Below are 22,292 nucleotides of genomic sequence, written 5' to 3'. Positions count from 1 at the left end.
AGCAGCGCCGCAGCCGGACGAGAAAGCGGAAGATGGCGGCGGCGGCCGGGAGGCCGTGAGGAGAGCGGCGGCTGCGAGGGCGGCCGATGGCGGCCGGGAGGCGCCCTCGGACACTTGCGGGTCGTTAGGGCGCGACGCTGGGAGGCATGTCGGAGCACGTGGAGCCCGCAGCTCCGGGGCCCGGGCCCAACGGCGGCGGCGGCGGCCCGGCCCCCGCGCGCGGGCCTCGCACCCCCAATCTCAACCCCAACCCCCTCATCAACGTGCGCGACCGGCTCTTCCACGCGCTGTTCTTCAAGATGGCTGTCACCTATTCGCGGCTCTTCCCGCCCGCCTTCCGCCGTCTCTTCGAGTTCTTCGTGCTGCTCAAGGTGACCGCGGCCCCGACCCCCGACCCTTGACCCCAGCGGCTGTCCCGACCCCCAAGTCTGCTACCTCCGACCGCGACCCCTGGCCCCGCTGGGGACAGCGAGCGCCACCCTGCACCCTGAGGCCTATACCCGGCCCTACCGATTAGGGCTCTCCCTCGCGACCTCTGACCCTGGGATTGGCCAGGGACACCGTCTCGTGACCCCATCCCGCCCGGGGACGTCCACCCGGGAAGGCCGGATCCCGCTGCACTAGAAGCCGCTGTTCTCTACTCTGGAAACCTCACTGTCAGCTCCCTCCAGGGCCCATCCTGTCCCCGGCGACCGCCTTTCCCAGGTCCCCACCTACCCAGGCTTGGAGTCCGGTCCTGGCCTGCGAGGTAGCACCTCCCGCCCTTTGACCCCTGACTGTGCCGCCTGAGACCCTCAGTTCCGAGGCCTCTCTCCCCTCCCAATGTGCTGGCCCAGAACCCAGCCTGACGCAGGTCTCCCTCGGACCAACCCCTGTCCTGGAAGTCGACTCCCCACTCCCCTCTCTCCCTCCTTGTAGCCTTTCAGCTGCGTTCCCCGCTCCTGAGCCTCAGGGGAATGTGACTTAGCTGAGGTCACCTCGCTAGGGTTAGCGGCAAAGTCACCGGCAGCAGCGTACCACCCCATCCCCGGCCTCTTCCTCCGCTGGGTCCCCACTCCCTTCCTGCTTCAGGAGCTCAGGTTGTGGGTCTGTCGCCCGTGCCTCCCCTATGAGGCACCGGCCTCCGCGTCTTGGGCTCTGTCCCCCTCCCGCCCTCCTCAGATGGCAGAGGTCTCAGCCGTGCAGGACAGGCATCGGCCTGACTCCCTCTGAGAAGGAGTCTTGCTTGGGTGACAAGAGGGGCTCAGTAGCAGCTGCAGCCCCTCAGAAAACAAGCTGGCCGGGGTCCTGGGCCACCTGGCGAAATGGGGACGTGGCCGTTTTCGTTCTGCATCAGAACACCGCCGCGCCGGGGCTTGGGGGCTGCTGAAGTTGCGCCGTGAGCTTTTTGGATCTAGCCTGCAAAGAGGGGTCCGATGCTGGCGGGCCAGGCTGCGATCGTGGGCAAGTTCCCAGCCTGACACAGGTTGGTCAGGAGCTGGCTGCTTTTTTGGGCTCGGCAAGTGGAGCTGGACCTTGGCCGTCCTGCGGACCTGGGTGTGGGTCCCAGCCTGCTGCCACTTCACGGAAGGCCCCCCAGCCTCCAGATCCGTGCCTCCCCAGGCCAGAGCTCAGCCCATCATCCTTCCCACCTTCCTCCCTGCAGCCCCCCAGAGTGGCATGGTCGCCTCAGTAGGCACCTGAGCAGGGCTGTGAAGGGTTACGCAGGCAGGCGGCCTTTCCCGGCTCTGGGGTCCACAGACGGGGCCTGAAACTGTGGACGGAGGCTGGTCTGTGGACGTGGGTTTTCCTTCCATGGAGTAGCCTGGGAACAGGATGGAGCCACTGTGTCCTTAGGCTTGTGGAGGGTGTGTGCTGGGTGCCAGGCCAGGTTCCCCCGACGGAGCTCAGCCTCCTTGGGAGGTGCATCCCTGTCGCCTGGGCCCTGGTCCCACCATGTCCCGGTTTGGAAAGGGATCAAGCCTACCCGGCTCCATCTCCAGGCCAATACCACTCACAGGTGGTCAGATGGGGCTGGGCCAGAGCTGGAGTTCCCCGTCTTCTGTGTAGGGTGGAGACTCTTGGGAGGTTCTCAGTAACCCCAATCCCTCCTCTCTCAGCAGAGGGCTTTGGACTGTGAGATCTCTGGGTGGTGAATTTTTTTTTTTTTTTTTTTGAGATGGAGTCTTGCTCTGTCACCCAGGCTGGAGTGCAGTGGTTTGATCTCGGCTCACTGCAAACTCCACCTCCTGGGTTCAAGCAATTCTTCTGCCTCAGCCTGCGGAGTAGCTAGGATTACCGGTGCCCACCATCACAACCGGCTAATTTTTTTGTCTTTTTAGTAGAGACTGGGTTTTGCCATGTTGGCTAGGCTGGTCTCAAACTGCTGATTTCAGGTGATCTGCCCGCCTCGGCCTCCCAAAAGGCTGGGATTACAGGCGTGAGCCACCATGCCTGGCCTGGGTGGGGAAATCTGTTCTTTGTGAATTTTCCACCCGGTAATCTGGTGGCACAGAATCTGACCCTGCTGCCTTCACTTTTACTTATCTGCAAAGTGCAGGCTGGAACTGCCTGATTTCAGAGGCTGCCTTGAGTTCCAGAAGGCTCCTCTGCTTCCTGCCTGCCTGGCTTCCGGGGGTCTCCCTGCAGAGAGCCAGGTCCTCCCTGGTATGATCCCTTCAAGGTGGCTTCATCCTGTGGCATCTGTGCAGCTGAGCTCCCAGCCCTGAGCTGGCATGGAGTCCCCCAGCTCTCACCCATGCCTGGGTGGCTTTAGGAAATGCCAGGATCTCCCAGCTCTGAGCCAGCATGGAGCCCCCCGGTCCCTCATCCATGCCTGGGTGGCTTTAGGAAATGCCAGGCAGTGCCAGGTGCTGGGGAGAGAGGAGGCGGCAGGGGCCTGTGTTCCAGGGGCCCTCGGGAGACCTCCATCCAGCCTCAGTATCCACCTCTGCTGGCCTTCATGGCCCTGAGCCCAGTGTGGCAGAGACTGTCCATCTTGGGGCACTGGGTGCCTGCACCTGTGCGGTTGGGCTCTGGACCCAGGTGACCACCAAGTGGATGCCCACAGGGTGAAGGGGTCTCGACTCAGCACCCCTGGACATGGGCAGGGGCCCGCGCCTAGCCACAGGGAGTAATGGGGCTCCTCTTGTGGGGTCGTGACGATTAAAGACGGGGTATGTGAGACCCCAGGGGCCCTGCTCTGAATGGGGGACCTGTCACATTGAGGCCACTGTGAGGCTGCAGTGGAAGGAGAGGCCCCGGTGGCCTGGAGGCAGGAAGCACCCCGGGTGGACAAAGGGGAGCCCCAGGTAGTGTTTCCTGGCTGGGGCTGAGGGCTCTGTGTCCCACCTGGGAGGAGAGTGTGGCTCCGCGGGCTTGTGTGTCCGTCGGTCTGTGGGTCAGTCAAATACCCAGAGAGCGGGCAGGCTGCTCCTGGCACTCCAGGTCTGTGGGGAGACAGGAAAGGAAAGGCCCACCCAGTGGCCGAGTGTTGGGGTGCCCTGAGAGCCTCGGCCAGAACATCCAGGAAGCTTCCTGGAGGAGGCGGTGAGCACGGCCCCAGGCTGGGGGAGGTGCTCCTGTGGGTGCAGCCGTGTGTGGGCTGACCCGGAGGAAGGAAGGGTCATAGGGGTGGGGTGACTCCTGTGCTGGGTGGGCAGGGCCTCCTGGAGGTGAGCCACAGCCAGTGGGATGGGGTGGGGTGTCCAGGCAGCTGGAGAGCGTGTGGGAAGGCCGTGGGGCTGGAGCATGTGGGTGCCTGCTGGGGAGCCTGGGTCAGGGACAGGGTCATGGAGTGTAGGGGACTGGACCACCCAGGGCATGCGAGTGGCTGAGCCAGGTTGCGGGCAGAGGGTGGCCAGGGGCCCATGGGAGCATTTGCAGGTGAGCTCCCTGGGGAGGGTTACTGTGGGCGTGGACGAGGCTGCCTGGGCGTGTGGCTCAGGGCCGGGCCTGGTGAGGTGGCTGCTGCAGGGTGGCTGATGACAGACAGGTCTTGGGGAGGAGGACCCGGGACTCGGGATGAGCCTGCGTCTGGCTGGGTGGTGCCTGCTCCTTGTTTTGTGGTGGGAGACTGAAGGGGAGCTGAGGCTTTGGCGGCAACGGGCCTTGTCCAGTGGGGCATTTTTCTGGTCATGCTCAGTCAGGGAAGAGGGGCCCTGAGCTCGGTCAGCACGGAGCACCTGATGGGGCAGAGACACAGTGACGTCTGAGTCATAGCGTCTGGTGGACTTGAAGTCTTTGACTGGAGTGTGTGCACATTGTGTGAAAACACTGGTGCCCTCTCATCACGTCCGCTGTCTTCATGGGACGGGTCACTCACACCAGTGCTGGGTGTGGCAGGATGTGTGTCCTGTGCCCTCTCCCGCTGACCCTGGACCAAGCTGACCCTGCCCAGGGCAACCCCAGGAGCTGCTCTTCCCCGTGGGGCCTTAATTGTGCAGACTGGCACTGCCCTGGCCCCTCCCTCCTGGCCATGTGACCTCAGCAGGTCCAGGTCTGTCGGGACCTCTGTGTCAGTTCCTCGTATATAAACCAGGGATGGTAACAGCCGTGCGTCCCTTGTGAAGCGTTGGACAGCCCCGACCTCGGCCCACTGTGTATCAGCACTTTTTGGAACATCTTGGCACAGGGTCCATTGCTGTCCTGGGCACAGCTCCTGCTGGATGTGTGGGCCTGGAAGGCAGAGCGTGGCCACCAGCAGCATCCACCATGGGCCTCGCGGGCCCCTCTCTCCTGAGAGTGCTGAGCCGAGGGGCTGTGGGGTCAGTGTCTCTGACCGTGACCCACCACTGGGCCCAGCCTCCGTGGCTCCTGTCCCCAGATGCCATATGGGGAAACGCTAGGCTTTGAAAGCATCTCAGGCTCCGGGGCTGCCCCCCTTCCACACTGCCCTCCCTGTCTTCCCCAGGACACAGGGGAACCCTCCCCAGCAGAGGGCCCTGCCCCCTCCCCCCGCCCACCCCTCATTTGTAGCTCCGGCGTCTGTGGGCGGGGCCTGAATGCCTGGCGGTCAGGGTTCTGCTCTTGCCTGTTTCTGCTTAAATCTCAGCGCCGGGCCAGCCTTCATCCCCTGCGGCTCTTTTGGCTGTAAGGACTAGAAATGCAGTTCAGATCAGCCCAAGGGATTCTCCAGCTCCTGGGGCTGGGGAGTGTGATGGGGCTCGCCCCAGGTGCACGTGCGGCTAGACCCAGGGCTTTATCCGTGCTCAGACTCAGGGCCTCCCACAGGTCACAGCACTGCGGCCGGGCTGGAAGTGGGTTGCTTTGCTGACTCGGCCCTTTGCTCAGTCTACAGAGGGTTCTGGAGAGGAGGCCCCAGCTCACTGTGGGCGTGGAAGAGTTGAGGCTCCTGGTGGTCTTGCCTATGGCTGTGCGGCCACAGGTGGCTCACTGCACCCCGGGCATTGGTGCACCTGCCAGCAGGTCACGGGTCACGGAGGGGCCCTGTGCTCCAGGCTCTCTGGCTTGTGATTTTGAGTCTGATCAATTCTTCCCTGAGAGTCTGGGGTTCCATGTGGCCGTGGGCGCCCCCTTGGCCCAGCTGGGTCCTCAGTTTTGCGGATCGGGGCAGCAGGTAGACGTGACCCTCACCAGGCTCGGGGGTGATGCCTGGACCTCAGGTTGGGAGGTACAGTGGGCAGCCAAACCGCCAGACGGTGAGGCGGGCTCCCTGGAAGAGGGGCTGCCCTGAACTGCCCCTAGAGGGGCCCCACTCTGAGTTGTGCCTGCAGCACGCTGGGGCGTGGGCTCCCCAAGCCCTGTGGACGTCGGGGTGGGGCCGTCCTGGGCACTGCGGGGTGCCGAGCAGCATCCCTGGCCTCACCCACTCCATGCCAGGAGCTCCCCCAATTGTGACAACCACAGATGTCCCAAGCATCCCCTGGGCAGGAGCCCCCAGGTGAGAGCTGCTGGCACCCCAGTTCATAGGTTGTGCCTCGGGCACGGCAGCCTCGCCCTGCCGTGGGGCGCTCTGCCCAGCCACGGAGGTCCACTGTGTCCCCAGCAGCTGCGGCTGGCCCCGCCAGGCCTGGGAGGGTTGCACAGGGCGCCCCGCCAGGTGAGAGAAGCTATTTTCAGGTGGTGAGATCAGGGGAGTGCTGGGGACGCAGCGGAAGGTGAGGCAGGAAGCAGCAGGTTGGGCTGTGGAGGGCTGTGCCCTCTTTCGTAGACAGTGGGTCCAGCTGGTGGCCCTGGGGTGGCGGCAACACCCATGCTGCTGCTTGCAGGGCGGGAGCCGTTGGCTGGCAGAGGGCCCTGGTGTGCTCCACTTGGTGGGTCTGAGTCCAGCCTCGTCTCCTCCCAGGTTTGGGGGGTCCTGTGTGCATCTGAGAGGGCCCCGGCCTGCTGGCTTCGTCCGGCTCACCCCTGAGGAGGTGCGGGGCAGTCACAGGCCTTGCCGAAGCCCCAGGGCCTGTCAGAGCCGGGCTGCAGGTGGCAGAGCCCCTCCGGGGTTGGAGTGGGGCGTCCCCCGGATCCTCAGTCACTTGGACTATGTGAGGGGCTGGCCCGGTGCAGTCAGCGTGGGAGGGACCCAGGGTCCTCAGAGCCCAATTCGGCTTCTGGGGTTTCCTTCCTTTCCCCGTCCTGGGCGTCCCAGCGCGCCCCATCACGCCCCATCACGTAGGCCCTTGGGTGTCGGCTGCAGCTGGCCCTGGGGCGCCCCACTGACTGCCGGCCGCCCCCTAGGCCCTGTTTGTGCTCTTCGTCCTGGCCTACATCCACATCGTCTTCTCCCGCTCGCCCATCAACTGCCTGGAGCATGTGCGTGACAAGTGGCCGCGTGAGGGCATCCTGCGTGTGGAAGTGCGGCACAACTCGAGCCGCGCGCCCGTCTTCCTACAGTTCTGTGACAGCGGCGGCCGCGGGAGCTTCCCGGGCCTGGCCGTGGAACCAGGCAGCAACCTGGACATGGAAGATGAGGAGGAGGAAGAGCTGACCATGGAGATGTTTGGGAACAGCTCCATCAAGGTGAGCCAGGCCTGGGCTCAGCTGCAGCAGAGGCCAGCGCCCCGTAGATGCTGGTCGCTGAAGGGGCGGTTCCTGACATCGACAGGATGTTGGGGTTCTTGACTTTCAGGGACCTGGCATGCAGACAAGGCCGCCCCTGCCTGCCGTGGCCTTTTGGTGGCCTGGGGGCTCTGAAGCAAGACCCTCGGCCTGTCGCCCTGCTAGAGGCCTGGGCAGGGCAGGGGGATCTCGGGGAGGACTTGGGCTGGGCAGACTCGGGCCTTTGAGAGTAGCTGTTCCGGGGAGGGGATTGGCTGGGGCTGGGGATGCAGTGGGCAGCAATAGCTGAGGAGGCCTGGGGGCTGAAAGCTAAGAGCTCTGGGCCCATCCTGGCCGTCCTGAGGTGGCCCCACTGCCTGCAGAGGTGCTGGGTTCCCGGTCAGCTTGTGGTGGCCTTGGGCACTGGTGGGACCAGGTGGCTGTGTTGGGCCCCACAGCCTGGTGGGAGATGTTTTTGCTTCAGCAGTCAGGGTTTGGGGTCCCACCTGTTCCCACAGAGCCAACCCCAAGAGTTTGAGTGTTTGGGCAGAGCATCATGGACCCTTCCATGGGGTCTACTGCCTGTAGCTGGCCCTTGCCTCAGCTTCAGGATTCAGAGCTGTGCTGGAGATGGCCTCACAGCAGGGCAGGCTTGGTGTTGAGGTGGGGTCCCAGCTGAGGCGGGAGGCACACGTAGTCCACCCTGGCCTGGTCAGTGGTGGGGCAGAGGCTGAGGCTTCCAGTCCCTTCCCATTAGCAGGACTGTATCCTCAGGCTGGGCCCTCACAGCCCGGGCTGGCGCTGCTGACACCCAGGTCCCTGGTCGCCCACAGTTTGAGCTGGACATCGAGCCCAAGGTGTTCAAGCCGCCGAGTAGCACAGAGGCCCTGAATGACAGCCAGGAGTTCCCCTTCCCCGAGACGCCCACCAAAGGTAGGCCACCCACCAAAGGTGTACTGCCTCACGGGGTTGCCTCAGTCATGGGGTGCTGGGGTGCAGGCGGGGTCCCTCCGAACATCCCCAGCCTGCTGGCTGCATGTCCTGGACCGTTGAGGGCACCCCCGTGCCTCGATTTCCCCATCTGTCAGCACAGGAGGCTGTGGGGACACCCCAGAGCCTGGGGTAACTGGCTCAGCTCATCCTTTCTGGGATCCTCGTGAACGGCGACTTGGAGGGGATGGATCCCTTCGGCTCTGAGCTCAGAGTTCTAGCGGGCTGTGCTCAGGGAAGCCCCCGCCCCCGCCCCCACCCCTGCCCATCTGGCAGCAGAGGGTCTATCCAGAGGGCCGGGGCCTCTGAAGTGTTGGGGGTGTGCTGGGGGCCGCCAGGGCAGTGGGGCAGCCCTGCACCCAGCCAGCCCCAGCCAGGGAGAGGGGGCCACGGGAGGAGGAGCCTGGCCAGCCTCTGCAGTGCACAGGGCAGGACACCAGCTTGAGTGGGCACCATCCCAAGTGTCCATGTAGGGGTCCTCCCAGCACCCACCTGGGGCCCAGGGCTCAGCAGGTCTCACCCTCCACCCCTCAACGCCTGCCTTGCCTGCTGGCAGTGGGCGGGGGACGTGTGTGGGGGCGCTGACCTGGTCCCTGGTTCTGCCCTGCAGTGTGGCCGCAGGACGAGTACATCGTGGAGTACTCACTAGAGTATGGCTTCCTTCGCCTGTCGCAGGCCACCCGCCAGCGCCTGAGCATCCCCGTCATGGTGGTCACCCTGGGTGAGTCTGAGCTGCTGGGCTTGGGGAGCTCCATGGCGGGGCCTCCCCTCCTCCCTCGGGTCTCCTCCTGCTGGTGCGGGACGGGGGGCTGTGCAGGAAGCACTGGGGTCTGCCCCGCCCCAGGCACGCTTCCCAGGGCTGGGGTCCTGGATGGGTTTCCTAAGAATGGGCAGGGCCAGGAAGCAGGCCAGGCCTCAGCAATGGAGCCAGCTGGGGCAGGGCCCAGGGGGTGGCCTGGGCGGGGCTCCCGGCTCCCTGATTCACCCACCCGCAGACCCCACGCGGGACCAGTGCTTCGGGGACCGCTTCAGCCGCCTGCTGCTGGATGAGTTCCTGGGCTACGATGACATCCTCATGTCCAGCGTGAAGGGCCTGGCCGAGAACGAGGAGAACAAGGGTGAGGCATGCCCCGGGGCCGAGGGTGCGAGGGCGCGGGTGGGGGCGGGCGCTCACGGCTCCTTCTGCTGCAGGCTTCCTGCGGAATGTGGTGTCGGGCGAGCACTACCGCTTTGTGAGCATGTGGATGGCGCGGACGTCCTACCTGGCCGCCTTCGCCATCATGGTCATCTTCGTGAGTGCCTCGGGGCGGGTGCGGGGGCTGGCCGGGCGGGAGCCAAGCAGGCCCTCGCAGCCCCTCATAGCGCTTCCTGCGCGCCCCTTGCAGACGCTGAGCGTGTCCATGCTGCTGCGGTACTCACACCACCAGATCTTCGTCTTCATCGGTGAGTGTCCCGCCGGCGCAGGGCGGGGCGGGCGTCCTCCAGGCCCTCACCGGGCGCCCGCCGCCCTGTGCCCGCAGTGGACCTGCTGCAGATGCTGGAGATGAACATGGCCATCGCCTTCCCCGCAGCGCCCCTGCTGACCGTCATCCTGGCCCTCGTCGGTGAGGACCCCACCCGGCCTCCCCCGCCCCGCGCTGCACCCCGCCCCGCCCGCTTCAACCGGCGCCGCCTCTCCCTGCAGGGATGGAGGCCATCATGTCGGAGTTCTTCAACGACACCACCACCGCCTTCTACATCATCCTCATCGTGTGGCTCGCGGACCAGTATGACGCCATCTGCTGCCACACCAGCACCAGCAAGCGGCATTGGCTGCGGTGAGCGTGGCGCGGGGGCAGGGTGGAGTGGGTGCTGGTGGGCAGGGGTAGGGGGCTGCCAGAGGGAGGGGCGCTGGAGGCGGGGGTGGTGGCTGCGCCACGCGGGAACCCCAGGGGCTGGGCCTGGCAGGGTGGGACCTGCAGCCCCGACGCCCTCACCCCGCCCCGCAGGTTCTTCTATCTCTACCACTTCGCCTTCTATGCCTATCACTACCGCTTCAATGGGCAGTATAGCAGCCTGGCCCTGGTCACCTCCTGGCTCTTCATCCAGGTGAGGCCTGGGCGGCAAGCAGGGGGCAGGCCAGCCGTGCCTTTCCAGGCAGGAGAGGCTGCAGCCGGGGAGGATGCCCTGTGGGGTCGGCCCAAGCGGGCAGAGGTAGCGTGGATGGTCCCGGGTGGGCTGCCCTCTGGGAGCAGCGGCTGGGTGGGGCAGGGGCGGGCCCGTCCTGACTCCCACTCTCCCTCCCGCAGCATTCCATGATCTACTTCTTCCACCACTACGAGCTGCCTGCCATCCTGCAGCAGGTCCGCATCCAGGAGATGCTGCTTCAGGCGCCGCCACTGGGCCCCGGGACCCCCACGGCGCTGCCCGATGACATGAACAACAACTCGGGCGCCCCGGCTACAGCCCCTGACTCTGCCGGCCAGCCCCCCGCCCTGGGCCCCGTCTCGCCTGGGGCCAGCGGGAGTCCCGGGCCTGTGGCAGCGGCGCCCAGCTCCCTGGTGGCCGCGGCAGCCTCAGTGGCAGCAGCTGCCGGTGGTGACCTGGGTTGGATGGCAGAGACCGCTGCCATCATCACAGACGCCTCCTTCCTGTCCGGCCTGAGCGCCTCCCTCCTGGAGCGGCGTCCAGCCAGCCCGCTGGGCCCTGCTGGGGGCCTCCCCCACGCCCCCCAGGACAGTGTCCCCCCGAGTGACTCCGCAGCTTCTGACACAACTCCCCTGGGGGCTGCGGTAGGCGGGCCTAGCCCGGCCTCCATGGCCCCAACGGAGGCGCCCTCGGAGGTGGGGTCCTGAGCCGCACAGCTGAGCCGCCTCTGACCCCTGCTGGCTGGGCCTGACCTTCCCGAGCCCGTGGGGGTGGGGGAGGCCAGCCACCTCCTTCCTCTGGGACTGCCCAGCCTGTGTCGGGGGCTTTCAGGGTTTCGTGGGGTTTGCCCGGAAGGCGGCTTTCCTCCCCCTGGTGTGAGGTCGCGCCCGAGGCTTGTACCCGCTAGTGAGGTGTTTGAGCTGGTCAGCAAGGAGAGGGGGTGGGGTTCCGCGGAAGGTTCTGGAGGGGTCTTGGTAGGTCTGCAGTGAACCGTCCTGAGGATGGAGTGGGGTCCCATGGTGCAGGTCTCTGAGCAAGGCGGAGGTGTGGAGGAGAGGCCGGCTTGGGGTGGGGCCTCGCGCCCTAGTGCCGGCCGGCCTCAGCCCGGCTCTGCCTGGTGCTCCCTGCAGTGCCTTCTCCATGGCCCCGCCCTCCCCGCGTGTGCGCCAGGCTTGGGGTCCCCGGGAGAGCAGAGCTTGCGCCTCGGGCATAGGGACGTGGGGTGCAGGCGCCAACATCAGTGGCAGCAGCCAGGGCCGTGGTCCAGTCCCACTCGGGGATGGAGTGGGCCGGCGGCCAAACCAGTCACTCGGGGAGGAATGCGGAGGAGCGCTCATTCCATTCTATTTAATTGCAGTGTACAAAATTGTGTTTGTATATAGAATAAACTGTCTGTTGACAGCGGCTCACTGCGCTGTGTGTGTGTCTTGAGCCCAAACGGCCCGGCTGCCGCCTCATTCCTGGCTCCCCGGTCGGCCAGAGTGTGGTGGGGCCTCCGCGGGGGCCGCTCTGGCCTGAAGCAAGCGCCGAGGCCGGTGACGTGCGCTGTCCCCGAGCTGTGCCAGGAGCTGGCCGCGCCGCACCAGGGCCTGGCGGAGCCGCTCACGCGCGACTTCGATGCGGCGCTCCAGCTCCTGCAGCTCCCCGGGCTGGGGGGCCCCCGTGGGCCTTGCGGCGGGCGGGCGGCCGTAGGAGCACAGCCAGACGGGGCCCTCTCGCGGCGCAGCCTCCGCCTCCGCGTCCGCTTCGGGTGCCACAACCACGGCGGGCTCCAGCAGGAAGCGCACGCGGCGCTCCTTGTCCACGGCCCGGCGCGCCCGTTTCCAGCCCTCCGGAGCCGTTGGCTGGTCCTGCTGCTGCTGCTGCTGCTCCACCTCGGGGCCGCTGGGGACGGAACCGGCCTGGTCAGTGTCCGCCGGGGCAGCCGTCTCGCGCCCTGGGCCTCTGCAGAGGCCGCTGACGGCAGAGGATGGCCGACAGGCACAACCAGGGAGCCACGGTGTGCACGTCCGGGGGTGGGCGGGGGACCTCCGGGAACCTCCTGCACCCCGCGGCCGGCTTCGGGGCGAGCTGGTGGGGTGGTGGGTCTGGGTGGTCCTGCATCGTGGTCCGCCCCGACCACCACTTACCTGGGCTCCGCCTCTGCCGTCTCCTCCTTCGACCCCTCTGGTGGCTCCGTGTTGAGGGCGCGGTGGATTTTCTAAGACCCCAGACAGACCCGGTTGGCGAGGAGGCGGGGGGGGTGGGGCCGCCCGCCGCCCACCCGCTCCCCACCTGGCTGGTGTGCAGCCAGTACTGCAGCCTGCTCCCCTTGCGGATGCGCGGCAGCGCCAGGCGGAAGAAGGCGTGCTCGCCCAGCGAGCTGAGCAGAGCGCTGCCCAGGCCCAGGCACAGCAACACGAAGAGGCCCGCGAAGTGGTAGATGCTCATCTGCAGGGTCTGGGGGCAACACAGCAGGAGCCCCGCACGGTCACGTAATGGCAGGCCCCTGGGGAGCCTTGAACTAGGGGAGAACAGGTTGGGCCAGAGAGAGGGGCTTGGGGCAGTGGAGCCAGGTTGGGAGGCAGGGACTCCATGGCTGGGGGGAGTGAGGTTTCATGGAGGAAGGGGCACTGCAGCCGGGGTTTTGTAGGGTGAATAGAAGTGCGCAGAAGCAGACAAACGCACGTCTGGGGAATGAGCACTGGGGTTGGTCACTTCAGACAAGGCTCAGGGCCCCCCACGCCCACCCCCACCCCCACCCTCTGTCCCAGGCCCTGCCCCACCTCTGTAACCGCAAAGACCCGCTTGCCGCAAGGCACCATCTTGTACCACTTGTCGTGGAGCAGGTCGATGAAGCCGGAGGACTTGTAGCGGCTGATGAACTCGGACAGGTTGGAGGTGAGCGGCGAGTTCTGGGGCAGTCCGATCCCATAGCCTGGGGGCGCGGGGCCAGGCGGTGGGGCCAGGTGGGACAGCCCCAGGGGAACTCTGCCCGCACACGTGGGATTTCGCCCCTTCCCACCTCGAACCCTCCGTGGCTCCCCACTGCCCCCAGGAGGTCCCCAGAGACCCCGGCGCCCCGCCTCGCCCAGGTGCCTCTCACCCTCAATGGCGAAGGGCTTTCCCACGGTCAGCAGTTTGCAGTCGGCGTCGATGGAGACCTCGTAGTCCAGGAGCGACTTGTCCATGATGAAGGCGTTGAGCTTGGGGGGGTCGCTCCTGCTGGGGCCGGGGGCGGGGGTCAGCCATCGCCCCGCCCACCCCACGCCCCGCCCCCGCCTCACCCCGCGCCCGGGCTCACGTGAGCATGGCGACGCCGCGGGGCGTGGTGGGCGCGCTGTGGCGCCGCATGTGTGCGTGCATGTCGGGGAAGCTCTTCTTGATGTACGCCTCGGCGCTGCTCTCCCACACGGTGCCGAAGCGGAAGCCCTGCGCCGGGTGGTGCAGCTGCGCGGGGGACCCCGTCAGCGCCTCTGCCTGCCCCTCAGGACCCCTGACCATTGAGGGGCGCGCCGTTCTCCGGGGTGGGGCCGTCCTGGGCACTGCAGGGCGCCGAGGCTGCATTCCTGGCCTCCACCCACTCCATGCCCAGAGCACACCCCAGGCGTGACCACCACAGCTGTCTCTAGACACACACTGTCCAGGGTCCCCTGGGGCGGGGGGCAGGATCACCCCGGGTGGAGACCCTCTGTTCTAAACGCCGGCAAGTCCATCTCCACCTGGACCTCGCCCTGGGCTGGACGCCTATCCCACCACCTCCTCTGCCTCTCCCCTGGGGGTCCCACGGGAGCCCCACTCTAACATGTCCATGACCCCACTCCTGATCTGCCCCCACTCGCTCTTCCCACCCCAGGCGGAGGCAGCTCTGTCGTCACTGCCTCTGACACCCTGTTTCTCCCGAAAACCCTGGGGGGCGCCACCTGCAACACAGGGAACTGCCCACTGCTCACCCCTCCACAGCTCCTACCCAGGTTGGGGCCCAGCGTCGAACCCAGCCTCCTTCCCCATCAACATCCTCGACCAGCCCAGGCCCCTCTGCGGGGTCCTCCCTGCACCACCCGTGGTCTGTTCTCCCCACAGCTGCCAGGGCAACCTGGTGCAGACCCCTAATGAGTAGGTGGGTCTGGCTGCTGAGGTCACACCAGCCACGGCCTCCCCACGGGATTCCAGCACCACCAAAAACCCAAACTTGAATCCCATCGTGCCTGTGGGTCAGCAGCATCTGATGGAAGTTTCCGTATGATGAAAAGGCTTTGACGGCTCAGCTGTGCAGCGTTTACATTGGAAGAGCCGCCGGCAGCAGTCGGCTCACCTGACAGCATGGCGTCTACGCTTTACTACCGTTTCACAGGGGACACCAGGGGCTGGGGAGCAGGCCAGGCACCCCCAGGGGACACCACTGGGCAGATCCAAAAGTTCAGAGACACTACGGGGCAGAAAACCCGACTTTGCCAAGAAATTACAAGGGGAGGCCGGGCACGATGGCTCACGTCTAATCCCAGCACTGTGGGAGGCTGAGGCAGGAGAATTGCTTGAACCTGGGAGGTGGAGGTTGCGGTGAGCTGAGATCACTGCACTCCAGCTCTGGGCAAGAGTGAGACTCTGTCTCAAAAAAAAATAATAATAATACGGGCCAGATGTGGTGGCTCACACCTGTGATCCCAGCACTTGGGAGGCCGAGGTGGGCGGATCACGAGGTCAGGGGTTCGAGACCAGCCTGGCCAACATGGTGAAACCCGCCAACTCTACTGAAAATACAAAAGCCAGGCTTGGTGGTGCACACCTGTAATCCCAGCTACTTGGGAGGCTGAGGCAGGAGAATCGCTTGAGCCCAGGAGGCAGAGGTTGCAGTGAGCCAAGATCGTGCCACTGCGCTCCAGCCTGGGCGATGGAGCAAGACTGTCTCAAAAAAGAAAAGAAAAATAGGCTGGATGCGGTGGCTCACGCCTGTAATCCCAGCACTTTGGGAGGCCAAGGTGGGAGAACTGCTTGAGCCCCGGCGTTTGAGACCAGCCTGAACAACATAGCCAGCCCCCCATCTCTGTGTTTTTTGTTTTGTTTTTTGTTTTTTGAGACGGAGTCTTGCTCTGTTGCCCAGGCTAGAGTGCAATGGTGCCATCTTGATTCACTGCAACCTCCGCCTCCTGGGTTCAAGTGATTCTCCTGCCTCAGCCTCCCGAGTAGCTGGGATTACAGGTGCCCACCACCATGCTCAGCTAATTCTTTGTATTTTTTAGTAAAGATGGGGTTTCACCATGTTGGCCAGGCTCCAGTTCGAGACTCCTGACTTCAGGTGATCTGCCTGCCTTGGTCTCCCAAAGTGCTGGGATTACAGGCGTGAGCCACCGCGCCCGGCTATTTTTCTTTAAATAAATAAATTAATTGAATAAATGTCTCTTGGGACCAGAGTTGGCCTAGTGGACGTCCTCCACGTCCAGCTGACCACCCCTGCCCCACACAGCCCAGCCCGGGGCCACCGCTAGCCCCCCAAGGCCACCCGCAGCCCCCCGAGGCCGCCCACCTTGGGGTCGTGGATCCCCGACAGCTCCTCGAAGGTCTTGTCCCCGACCATGACGGCAGCCAGGTTGGCCGTGTAGCTGGACAGCACCAGCAGGCAGAAGATGGCCCAGAGGTTCATGAGCAGGCGGCCCGTGGGGCACTTGGGCGTCTTGCTGGACACGGTGCGTCTGAAGAGGATGGCGTAGCACAGGTTGAGGGCTGAGGAGTAGGAGAAGACGGTGCTGCGGTTGCGGCCACGTGGCGTGAGGCCGTAGGGGCTACGCCACTCGTACACGGTGAGGAAGAGCGCGGTGAGGTGCAGGGCCGCAAAGACGCCCAGCCACGTGGACCAGTGCAGGGGCCACATAAAGGCACCGATGGGTGAGGCCGTGTCCCGTGCCCGCACCATGATGCCCAGGCTGGTGGAGAAGAAGGGGCTGGTGAAGTCCACCACCTGTGAGCGGGCGGAGTTGATACTGAAGCTGGTGACCGCCATGTGGGCCCGGCCGGCCAGCAGGTCCCCGACCAGGCCGGTCCAGCGGCCGTCCCGCAGGGCGCCGTACTTGCCGTCACCCACGAGGTACAGCTCGAAGTCGAAGGGCGTGTCCTCCGCCAGCCGCTCCAGCAGGTCAATGCAGTAGCCGTAGCAGCACTTGCGCAGGGCACGGGGCGCTGAGCCGTTGGCCAGCGCGGCGAACAGTGCGTCCAGGGTGGCCGAGTCGTTGGTGCCAGGGTCCAGGCACAGCTGCCCCGCTGGGCACTGCCCGTCTTCGTCTGGATCACGGGCAAACACAAATGGGTGTTCCAACAGCGTTACCACACGCAGCTTGGGCCAGACCTGGGCACCCTGTGGGGGCGGGGGCCGTGCAGAGGCACCTCCCGGTTCCAAGTCCAGCTGGCCGTCCCGCCAGCTGCCCACCGTGGCCCAGGCCGGGGCGCCCCGTGGGTCCCGGCGAAGGCTCCACACCTTAAAGTGCCGAGACATGTGTACCTGGGAGCTGCCTGTCACCCACACGGGGCCCGTGCGGCCCTGGAAGGACGTGTTGGCCAGGAACCTAGGGGCAGGGCGGGGGGGGTGTCAGGTGTCGAAGTTCACACCCCTCCATCCTCTCACCCCTGCCCAGCACGTGCCCGATTCCCACTGGTCGCTCTTGTCCGTATCATGAGGACAAACGTGGACGCTCCTGGTGTCCCCAAGCCTAGTCCCCAAGCCTAACCCCTTGATCCCGGGGCATCCGTGCCCGATGCCGTGGCTGTGCCCCCACTCCACATACGCCTGAAGCCAGTGACTGACACACAAGCACCCAGCTGGGGTCACCTGTTTCCAGGAGTTGTTCATTCTCAGGAACTCCTCCAGGGCTCAGCCAGAGACCCGTTCCCTCCCTCCTAGTTGTTCAGCTCGTTCTCTGCTGTCCCTGAGATAGTTCCCCAGGTGGGCACTGCTTCCGGGGACCTAAGACATCTAACAAAGCATCCTGACTTTGTGTGTTTGAGACAGGGTCCCTGTTGCCCAGGCTGGAGTGCAGTGGTGCGATCTCAGCTCACAGCAGCCTGGACCTCACAGGCTCAAGCGATTCTCTCATCTCAGCCTCCTGAGTAGCTGGAACTACAGGTGCGTGTCACCACGCCCAGCTAATGTTTTCTATTTTTTGGTAGAGATGGGGTTTCACCATGTTGGCCGGGCTGGTCTCAAACTCCCGAGCTCAAGTGATCCGCTCGCCTCGGCCTTCCGAAGTGCTGGGATTACAGGCGTGAGCCACCGCGTCTGGCCTCACGTTGCCTTTTGTGATCCATGAGCAGTGCAGACTCAGTGGCCTGGACACCCTCCTAAGGGAAGCAGGGTCCCCACTCACCGTGCCAAGAAGCGCCCCGGGGACTCGGGCCCGGCCGGCTGCAGGTCCCCGCAGTTGACCGGGGCGGGGAGGAGGGCTCGCTTCGGCTGCACCTGGGCCGCACTGCCCAGCGCCCGGGCCACCAGTTGCACAATGTCATGGATGGCGGCCTCCAGCGGGGGTCGTGCCACCTCGCCCAGCGCCAGCAGCCCTGGTGGCAGCCCCGCGGTGGGCAGGGCCTTGGGCGGCAGTGGTGTCCCCAACAGCCAGTGGGGGCCGGGAGGTACGGCCTCCAGCACCCGACGGGCACGGGCGATGTCACAGCCGAGGAGGACCGCCGCGGGTACCGGTGCTTCACCCCCCACTGGCGCCGCCATCGGGGCCAGGCGTGCCCGCAGTCCTGCATCTCCCGTGTCCCGCCGGCTTAGGTCCAGGACCAGCTGTGGGGGCCGGCCAGCCCGGCTTGTCCAGAGGGCCACCAGGCCGCCGGGGTCCTGAGTGCGGCACAGGGCCAGGCCGACGTCTTCCCAGGCGTGCGCCTGCAGCACCGCCACCAGCACATCCAGCAGCGTCTCCAGGGGGCTGGCCCAGTGCAGCTGCAGGTGGAATGGGTTCTGGGAGAGGGGTGGCCACGGTTAGGGTTGACGACCTCCACCCCCACAAAACCCTTCCCACCCCAGCAGCGGGTGATCCGCAAGTAGATGCCAGCTGGATGGCTGCACCTCCCCTCCACCTCCCCCCAGCCCCAGCCCTGCTCTAAACCCTTCCATCGTTCCCCATCACCATCCCCACAAAGCTCAGTCTCCCAGCCTCTCTTGGCTCCAGCTACCCTTGTCATGGGCACACTTGGTGTTTTTTGTTTTTTTTTTGCATGTGCCATTCCCCGGATGGAATATCTTTCTCTCTCTATGCCCACCAACTCCTACACATCCTTCAAAACCCAAGCACATTGCTCCTCCTCTATTCAGACTTCTCCATCCTCCAGGCAGAGCCCAGGCTCCAGCTTGGAACGCCTCCAGCCTCAGGTCCCTCCCTGATTCCTTTACAGTCCTGACCTCACCTGGCACCCACCTGCCTGGGAACCCCTCTAGGGCCAAGAGCTGTGGCTCATAAAGGTGAGCCCACCGATGGCCTTGTGCTTAGAGCCAAACCAGGTAGCTTCCCCTAGCATCCCCTTCACACATTACTGCCCCGTGCCAGGCACATGGAGGGCTGAGGGGCCCCCTTGTGCCCAGTGCCATCCAGAAAGTTCTCCTGGATTTTTTTTTTTTTTTTTTTGAGATGGAGTCTTGCTCTGTCTCCCAGGCTGGAGTGCAATGGCGTGATCTCAGCTCACTGCAAGCTCCACCACTCCCAGCTTTTTTTTTTTTTTTTTTTTTTGTATTTTTAGTAAAGACGGGGTTTCACCATGTTAGCCAGGATGGTCTCGATCTCCTGACCTCGTGATCCGCCCGCCTCGGCCTCCCAAACTGCAGGGATTACAGGCGTGAGCCACAGTGCCCAGCCAATATATATATATCCTGAGTAGCTGGGATTACAAGCACCCACCACCACGCCCAGTTAATTTTTGTATTTTTTGTAGAGATGGGGTCTCGCCATATTGCCCAGGCTGGTCTCAAACTCCTGAGCTCAAGCTGTCCTCCCACCTTGGGCTCCCACAGTGCTGGGATTCCAGGCGTGAGCCACCGCACCCGGCCCTGGATTTAACTTAGTATATTAAAGGTGGGAGAGCTTTGCCAGGCCCCTCGGGTTGGCAGGGCGCTTCCCAGGGTGGAAGCAGGGTGCCCAGTGCTGGAGGATGGGCTTGGGATGGGGCTCAGTCCCCAGGGGGCCAAGCCAGTCCCTAAGACGCTAGGTCGGTCCCACGCCCCGGCTTGCGGCGGTGCAGCTCCTGGAGACGGCAGCAGAGGGCGCCCCAGGCCTGGGTTTGGGCCCCGCCTCTCCCACCAGCCCTAGGGCGGTGGGGGGACAGGGGTCCCCTTGACACCTGGAGAGCTGGGCTAAGAGACCCCCCCTCTAGCGTCAGGGTCTCCCTCCCTGAGGAGAGGGAGGGGCTGGAGGGGCCTCTGAGTGGGTTGGGAAGGAGGGGCAGCTGGGGCATAGAGCTCAGCCAGGCCCATGTCCGGAGTTGGGACCTCCTTGCTGGCCACGGGAGGGGGCTTGTTATCTGGGGCGCAGTGAGCCCTGTTGGGGGGGACAACAGGGACCCCAGAACCCAGTCAATCGCCCTTCTCTTCTTCCGTTTCCTCCCGGGATCTGGGCCTGGGGTGGGGTTAGAAGAGAGGAACTTGAAGGCTGCCAGGGGTTGGGGGGTGGGAATGGAGTCGGGGTTGGAATGATGGAGGCTGCTCTGGGATCTTGGAGGCCTCTGGGAGGGGACGGGGAGAATGCTGGAAGGAGGGAGATCCAGACCTGCAGACCCCGAAACTGCACCCCTAGAGTGAGGAGGGAGACCGCCTGTCCTCCAGCCCAGCCACCCAGAGCCGGGTGGGGACCAGGAGGTCCCAGGGACCAGGGAAGGGTCTGTGGGGAAGGAGGGAAGGGGCCTGGGCAAGGAAGGGGCAGAGGCCACAGTGGCGGGGTCCCCATCACCAGGGCGCTGGGAAGGGGTCTGCAGGGGCGTTCCAGGGGCGTCCCTGGAGCTCTCAACCCCGCGTCTAGGTCCCTGCCCCTGGGTCTCTTCCTCTGGGTTCTGGTTTCCTTGCTCCGGGGACACCCGGGTCTTCCCCATCCCTGATCCCTGGGGCCCGTCCAGCGTCCCGGGATCCCCCTTCCCTGCGTAGTCCCGGCACCCCCATCCTGACTCCGGACGTCCCCAGGGCTCCCGACCCCGCTCCCGCCCCGGGTCCCCCTCGTCCTGACTCCGGGCGTCCCGCGTACCGGGGCTCCGAGGGGCGCGCGCGCCTCCCGCCGCAGCAGGCTGAGCACGGGGGTCTCGGTGGCCGCCGCCAGGAAGTGCAGCTGCAGCAGCTCGGGCCGAGCCTCGGGAAAGGCGAGCAGGGCCGCCACGCCCGGAGGCACCAGCGCCTGGCACAGGCCGCGGGTCAGCGAGGCGGGGTCGCGGGCGGGGGGCGCGGCGACCACCAGCTCCAAGCTCAGGTTGTGCGGCAGCCGCGGCGCCAGGGCGGCCCGGGCCAGGGCGGCGCGGGCGCGGGCGCGGGCGAGAGGCGCGCGGGGCAGGAGGGCGCCCAGGCGCACGGAGCCCCCGAGGCGCGCCAGGACGCCGCACGGCTGAGGGTGGCCCCCCGCGGACCCCGGCCCCAGCGCCAGCGCCAGGCCCAGCCACAGCGCCCGCACAAACTCCATCGCAAAGTTGTCGGCGTCGCTCGCCACGGGGCGCAACCACCGGGACCACGGCGCGGGTGGAGGGCCCCGGCCAGGTTCCGACGCGCCCTCCGCGCTCCGCCCGGGCGGCCTCCGGGTTCCCAGCAACCGCGCGGGGGGAGTGGGACGTGCCCTGCCCAGGGCGGGATGGGGGGGAAACAGTGCCTCCCAGTGGTTGTTTGAGGCCGGCGGCGGTGACACCTGGCGGGGGCCGGGGACGCCTAACCACTGCCCATCCCTGCTCTGATTCAGGCCACAGATGGAACGGAGGTGCCAGGAAAAGACTGCGCTTTAAAATTGGCCCCGACTTGCCGGGCGCGGTGGTTCACACCTGTCATCCCAGCACTTTGGGAGGCCGAGGCGGGCAGATCACGAAGTCAGGAGTTCGAGACCAGCCTGGCCAACATGGTGAAAGCCCGTCTCTACTAAAAATACAAAAATTAGCCGGGCGTGGTGGCGGGAGCCTGTAATCCCAGCTACTCGGGAGGCTGAGGCAGGAGAATCGCTTGAACCTGGAAGGCGGAGGTTGTAGTGAGCCGAGATCGTGCCACTGCACTCCAGCCTGGGCGACAGAGCGATGCTCCGTCTCAAAAAAAATAAAATAAAATAAGAAAATAAAATTGGCCCGGACGCCCACCCCGTTCCTCTCCAGGATCCCTGACCCCTTCCACCAATGTCGACCATTGCTCAGGCAGGGAAGTTGAGGCCCAGGAAGGGTCTTGCTTGTCTCGCACATCCAGGGAGCTGTCAGTTTCTAACCAGGCCAGCCCAGGGGTGTGTTCTAACATCCAGTGCACCCTGGGGAAACTGAGACAGGCATGTCTGATGGAAACCTATAGAGTAGATCTGCCCTCCAGCAGTGGGCAGGCAACTTGGGCCACAGAACTCCTCTTCACCCTTCAAAACCCAGTCCCAAATGCCCTGCCCTGAAAAACGTTCCCTGCTTGCCACTGAGAAAATGCAGAAAGCACCACTCCCTGCCCCATTTCAGTCCTGCTGCTACCCACCCCCAACCTCCACACATTTCCATAACGGCCTACCATCTTTTTGTTCATTTCCTTCTTATTTAGTGACCATCTCTTCAACTCAGCTCTGGGAGGGTTGGGGTGGGTCTGGTTTGGTTGCTGGCACACAGTAGGCACTCTATAATTGCTTGTGGCTTGAGCAACGGCCCAGACAAGGATGCTTGCTCACATGCCCCTCCTCCAGTGCTCTAGAGCCTTCCATAGCTCCCCGCTGTCTACCAGTCCCCAAGCCTGCCTATGTCCTCTGGGCCTCGGGGGGTGCCTTCTGGGGCCCTGGCATCCCACAGGCGCCTGATAGATGGGGGCGGCTGCATCCGTCTATCCATCTAGCAGAGGACCTCCTCCCTGCCCAGGCATTCCTCATCCTGTCCTCCCGACGGTGTCTCCCCAGATCCCGCGGGGCAGCAGAACAGCCGCTGTGTTGGGAACATTCAGCTCTAATTAATGGATCTACACTCCGGCGATTTTCTCACACACACACACACACACACACACACACACACACACACCCCAAACGTCATCTCCTTTTGGAGCCAGCGTTGGA

At 65.0% G+C, this 22,292-nt stretch overlaps 2 protein-coding genes across 11 annotated transcripts, besides 7 other annotated features; one reads left to right on the top strand and one right to left on the bottom strand.

Moving 5' to 3' along the window:
* On the top strand, positions 20 to 11,490 carry TMEM259 (transmembrane protein 259). Of its 10 annotated transcripts, none has more exons than XM_024451773.2 (11): positions 20 to 371; positions 6,670 to 6,951; positions 7,803 to 7,902; positions 8,570 to 8,680; positions 8,955 to 9,077; positions 9,151 to 9,251; positions 9,345 to 9,402; positions 9,531 to 9,563; positions 9,644 to 9,776; positions 9,948 to 10,047; positions 10,248 to 11,490. In XM_024451773.2, exons 1-11 carry the CDS (start codon positions 147 to 149, stop codon positions 10,791 to 10,793), a joined length of 1,812 nt encoding a protein of 603 aa, XP_024307541.1. In that variant the 5' UTR covers positions 20 to 146; the 3' UTR covers positions 10,794 to 11,490. The 10 variants fall into 10 exon arrangements, with proteins under 10 accessions (XP_024307541.1, XP_047295616.1, NP_001028198.1 ...); XM_047439660.1 differs by having other exon boundaries at positions 9,948 to 10,152; NM_001033026.2 differs by having other exon boundaries at positions 9,480 to 9,563.
* Positions 99 to 168: a silencer, noted in NCBI's record as "silent region_9650". NCBI's record gives its function as "represses an Ori minimal core promoter by ATAC-STARR-seq in GM12878 lymphoblastoid cells {active_cell/tissue: GM12878}" and the evidence as "EXISTENCE:reporter gene assay evidence [ECO:0000049][PMID:35858748]".
* Positions 199 to 258: a silencer, noted in NCBI's record as "silent region_9649". NCBI's record gives its function as "represses an Ori minimal core promoter by ATAC-STARR-seq in GM12878 lymphoblastoid cells {active_cell/tissue: GM12878}" and the evidence as "EXISTENCE:reporter gene assay evidence [ECO:0000049][PMID:35858748]".
* Positions 1,534 to 2,133: an enhancer, noted in NCBI's record as "H3K27ac-H3K4me1 hESC enhancer chr19:1019009-1019608 (GRCh37/hg19 assembly coordinates)". NCBI's record gives its function as "activates a minimal SCP1, AML or CMV promoter by ChIP-STARR-seq in naive H9 embryonic stem cells {active_cell/tissue: H9 hESC(naive)}" and the evidence as "EXISTENCE:reporter gene assay evidence [ECO:0000049][PMID:30033119]".
* Positions 2,517 to 2,736: a silencer, noted in NCBI's record as "fragment chr19:1018406-1018625 (GRCh37/hg19 assembly coordinates)". NCBI's record gives its function as "represses an EF-1alpha promoter that drives an FKBP-Casp9 reporter gene in an ReSE screen in K562 erythroleukemia cells {active_cell/tissue: K562}" and the evidence as "EXISTENCE:reporter gene assay evidence [ECO:0000049][PMID:32094911]".
* Positions 5,875 to 6,408: an enhancer, noted in NCBI's record as "H3K27ac-H3K4me1 hESC enhancer chr19:1014734-1015267 (GRCh37/hg19 assembly coordinates)". NCBI's record gives its function as "activates a minimal SCP1, AML or CMV promoter by ChIP-STARR-seq in primed H9 embryonic stem cells {active_cell/tissue: H9 hESC(primed)}" and the evidence as "EXISTENCE:reporter gene assay evidence [ECO:0000049][PMID:30033119]".
* Positions 11,411 to 20,724, bottom strand: GRIN3B (glutamate ionotropic receptor NMDA type subunit 3B). Its single transcript, NM_138690.3, has 9 exons — positions 20,280 to 20,724; positions 17,421 to 18,013; positions 15,590 to 16,622; positions 13,370 to 13,515; positions 13,172 to 13,287; positions 12,852 to 13,003; positions 12,361 to 12,525; positions 12,216 to 12,286; positions 11,411 to 11,970 (listed from the first exon to the last, which is right to left on the bottom strand). Exons 1-9 carry the CDS (start codon positions 20,703 to 20,705, stop codon positions 11,541 to 11,543), a joined length of 3,132 nt encoding a protein of 1,043 aa, NP_619635.1. The 5' UTR covers positions 20,706 to 20,724; the 3' UTR covers positions 11,411 to 11,540.
* Positions 11,424 to 11,614: a silencer, noted in NCBI's record as "fragment chr19:1009528-1009718 (GRCh37/hg19 assembly coordinates)". NCBI's record gives its function as "represses an EF-1alpha promoter that drives an FKBP-Casp9 reporter gene in an ReSE screen in phorbol 12-myristate 13-acetate-treated (for megakaryocytic differentiation) K562 erythroleukemia cells {active_cell/tissue: K562(+PMA)}" and the evidence as "EXISTENCE:reporter gene assay evidence [ECO:0000049][PMID:32094911]".
* Positions 19,226 to 19,515: a silencer, noted in NCBI's record as "silent region_9648". NCBI's record gives its function as "represses an Ori minimal core promoter by ATAC-STARR-seq in GM12878 lymphoblastoid cells {active_cell/tissue: GM12878}" and the evidence as "EXISTENCE:reporter gene assay evidence [ECO:0000049][PMID:35858748]".
* Positions 20,725 to 22,292: the final 1,568 nt, after the last annotated feature.

Source organism: Homo sapiens, chromosome 19 (assembly GCF_000001405.40).
Source record: "Homo sapiens chromosome 19, GRCh38.p14 Primary Assembly".
NCBI lineage: Eukaryota > Metazoa > Chordata > Mammalia > Primates > Hominidae > Homo > Homo sapiens.
Note: the sequence above shows the minus strand (reverse complement) of the source record. Positions and strands in the feature narration are given on the sequence as shown.

Excerpts from the sequence above, each read along its gene's own strand:
- TMEM259 (XM_005259675.4), top strand. The coding sequence starts at position 147 with ATGTCGGAGCACGTGGAGCCCGCAGCTCCGGGGCCCGGGCCCAACGGC. Across the intron at positions 372-6,669 it reads AGTTCTTCGTGCTGCTCAAG|GCCCTGTTTGTGCTCTTCGT; the intron begins GTGACCGCGGCC and ends GCCGCCCCCTAG. Across the intron at positions 9,777-9,947 it reads AGCAAGCGGCATTGGCTGCG|GTTCTTCTATCTCTACCACT; the intron begins GTGAGCGTGGCG and ends CCCGCCCCGCAG.
- GRIN3B (NM_138690.3), bottom strand. The coding sequence starts at position 20,705 with ATGGAGTTTGTGCGGGCGCTGTGGCTGGGCCTGGCGCTGGCGCTGGGG. Across the intron at positions 13,004-13,171 it reads AAAGCCCTTCGCCATTGAGG|GCTATGGGATCGGACTGCCC; the intron begins GTGAGAGGCACC and ends CCGCGCCCCCAG. Across the intron at positions 11,971-12,215 it reads ACGGCAGAGGCGGAGCCCAG|CGGCCCCGAGGTGGAGCAGC; the intron begins GTAAGTGGTGGT and ends TTCCGTCCCCAG.